Below are 3,772 nucleotides of genomic sequence, written 5' to 3' on the forward strand. Positions count from 1 at the left end.
CACCGCGCCCGGCCTGAATAATTTTTTAAGGTCACTTTTATCAAACTGGAAATGTAAAGAAGCTTTCTTGATCACATAAAGGCTGTCTTTAAAAAAATAACTAAAACAAGGATTATACCTCGTGGTGAAACAATGAAAGTTTTCCCTTTGAAAATGGAACAAAACAGAGATATTCACTACTACCACTTTTTTTTTTTTTTTTTTTTTTTTGAGACTCCCGTCTCGCCCTGTCGCCCGGGCTGGAGTGCAATGGCGTGATCTCCGCTCACAGCAAGCTCCGCCTCCTGGGTTGGAGTGCAATGGCGTGATCTCCACTCACTGCGAGCTCCTAGGCTGGAGTGCGATGGCGTCATCTCCGCTCATGGCAAGTTCCGCCTCCTGGGTTGGAGTGCAATGGCGTGATCTCCACTCACTGCGAGCTCCTAAGCTGGAGTGCGATGGCGTGATCTCCGCTCACGGCAAGTTCCGCCTCCTGGGTTGGAGTGCAATGGCGTGATCTCCACTCACTGCGAGCTCCTAGGCTGGAATGCAATGGCGTGATCTCCGCTCACTGCAAGCTCCACCTCCTGGGTTGGAGTGCAAAGGCGTGATCTCCACTCACTGCAAGCTCCGCCTCCTGGGTTCACGCCTTTCTGCTGCCTCAGCCTCCCAAGTAGCTGGGACCACAGACGCACGCCACCACGCCCGGCTAATTTTTTGTATTTTTAGTAGAGACGGGGTTTCACCGTGTTAGTCAGGATTGTCTCGATCTCCTGACCTCGTGATCCGCCCGCCTTGGCCTCCCAAAGTGCTGGGATTACAGACGTAAGCCACCGCGCCCGGCCTGAATAATTTTTTAAAGGTCACTTTTATCAAACTGGAAATGTAAAGAAGCTGTCTTGATTATATAAAGGCTGTCTTTAAAGAAATAAAACAAGGATTATACCTCGTGGTAAAACAATGAAAGTTTTCCCTTTGAAAACTGGAACAAAACAGAGACATTCATTACTACATTTTTTTTTTTTTTTTTTTGAGACTCCCGTCTCGCCCTGTCGCCCGGGCTGGAGTGCAATGGCGTGATCTCCGCTCACAGCAAGCTCCGCCTCCTGGGTTGGAGTGCAATGGCGTGATCTCCACTCACTGCGAGCTCCTAGGCTGGAGTGCGATGGCGTCATCTCCGCTCACGGCAAGTTCCGCCTCCTGGGTTGGAGTGCAATGGCGTGATCTCCACTCACTGCGAGCTCCTAAGCTGGAGTGCGATGGCGTGATCTCCGCTCACGGCAAGTTCCGCCTCCTGGGTTGGAGTGCAATGGCGTGATCTCCACTCACTGCGAGCTCCTAGGCTGGAGTGCAATGGCGTGATCTCCACTCACTGCAAGCTCCGCCTCCTGGGTTGGAGTGCAATGGCGTGATCTCTGCTCACTGCAAGCTCCGCCTCCTGGGTTCACGCCTTTCTGCTGCCTCAGCCTCCCAAGTAGCTGGGACCACAGACGCAGGCCACCACGCCCGGCTAATTTTTTGTATTTTTAGTAGAGACGGGGTTTCACCGTGTTAGCCAGGATGCTGTTGATCTCCTGACCTCGTGATCCACCCGCCTCAGCCTCCCAAAGTGCTGGGATTACAGGCAGGAGCCAACGCGCCCGGCCCGTGTTTTGTTTTGTTTTGTTTTGTTTTTTACTGTGATGGCCAGAACCGTTAGTATAATGTTAAATAAAAGTGGTAGTAATGATGCCAGGCGCGGTGGCTCACGGGAGGTCAAGGCAGGCGGATCACTTGAGATCAGGAGTTTGAGACCAGCCTGTCCAACATGGTGAAACCCCACCTCTACTAAAAATACAAAAATTAGCTGGGTATGGTGGCAGGTGCCTGTAATCCCACCTACGTGGGAGGCTGAAGCAGGAGAATCACTTGAACCTGGGAGGGAGAGGTTGCAGTGAGCCGGGATTGCACCACTGCACTCCAACCTGGGTGACAGAATGAGACTCTGTCTCCAAAAAAGAAAAGAAAAGGAATAAGGATTGTAAAAAAAAAAAAAAAAAAAAAAGCAAAAATTATAGATGTTATGATTGTATACAGAAGGAATTTTTAAATCTATAATTAGAATTAATCTATAATTCAAGTTTCCTGGACTTCAAAAAAATCAATATACAAAAATCAATGTGTTTAACAGCAACAAAGGGAAAATTATATTTTAAAAGGACAGCCTTCATAATATAATTTTAAAATACCAAATTATTCAGAATTTAGTAACAGCTGAATAAGTCTCTAATGCAGAAAAATATATAGTATTATTGACAGAAACCAAAGAAGATCTCAGTAAATAGAGTAATATATGATGTTCATGGATTTGAAAACTCAATATTACAAACACTGTCAGTTCTTCTCACAGTGATATACAGACTCAATGTAATTTCTAATAAAAACCCATGTAGCTAGGTGCTGTGGCTCACATTAGTCTATAATCCCAGCACTTTGGGAGGCTGAGGCTGGAGGATCGCTTGAGCCCAGGAGTTTGAGACCAGCTGGGCAACATGACGAAACCACATCTCACATCTCTACAAAAAACATATAAAAATTAGCTGAGCATGGTGGCACACACCTGAAGTTGCAGCTACTCAGGAGGATAAAGTAGGAGGCATACCTGAGCCCAAGAGTTCAAGGCTGTAATGAGTTATGATCATGCCACTGCACTCCAGCCTGAGTGACAAAGCGAGATGGATTTTTTTCTAGAACTTGGTAAGATAATTTTTACGTTTACGTGGACATGTGAAAGACCGAGAAGAGCTAGGTCACTACAGAGGAAGAATGAAGTTAAAGAAATTGCTCTAAATTTCTGTAAGTACTAAATTACTATAAAGCTGTTGTAATTAAAAGGGGATGGCATTGATTTGGGGATGCGCAATAAGCCCAATGGAAAAGAGATGAGATCACAGAAATAGATCCACACATATTTAGATGCTTGATGTATGACAGAGATGGCACTATATAGCAGTGGCAAAAAGACTCTCAATAAACTTTGCTGGGATATCTGAGTACCCATATGTGAAAATAATAAAATTGGACCCCTACCTCACACCATACCTCAAAATCAACTCCAGTGTCATATGGCCCTAAATATAAAAGACAAAATTACAAAGCTTTAAAGTAATAATGTAGAAGAATATCTTCATAGTCTTGGATTTTAAAAGTTTTCTTAAGTAAGGTACAAAAAGTAATATCGCAAAGGAAAGATGGACAAAATTAGGAATATCTGTTCATCAAAAGACAACATTGAGTGAAAGGCCAGCCACAGAGTAATAGAAGATAATTGCAACAGATAAAACTGACAAAAATCTTGTTGCTAGAATATATACAGAATTCATATCAATTAGTGATAAAAGACAGGCAATCCAGCAGAAAAATGGGCAAAAGATAGGAACTTTACAAAAAAGAAATCCAAAAGTCAGTAACATAAAAATGTGATCAACTTCTTTAGTAATGTGGGAAAGGTAAAATAAAAGCATAATAAAGTACTACTACACACTTACCAAACTGACCAAAATTTAAAATTTTGACAATTCCAAGTTTTAGCAAAAACACTCATTCATGTAAATTTACACAAACTTGTATAACTACTTTAGAATACAGTTCAGCATTATCCAATTAAGCTGAAAATAACATACTCTATGCCCCAGCAATTCTGCTCTTAGATAAATATCCTACAGAAAAGTGAGCTTACGTGCATCAGGAAACATGGACAAGAATGTTCATAGAAGCATTGTTTGTAGTAGTCTTGTCATAGGTCAGGTTCTCA

This window comes from Homo sapiens, chromosome 5, assembly GCF_000001405.40.
Source record: "Homo sapiens chromosome 5, GRCh38.p14 Primary Assembly".
In the NCBI taxonomy this organism is placed as follows: Eukaryota; Metazoa; Chordata; class Mammalia; order Primates; family Hominidae; genus Homo; species Homo sapiens.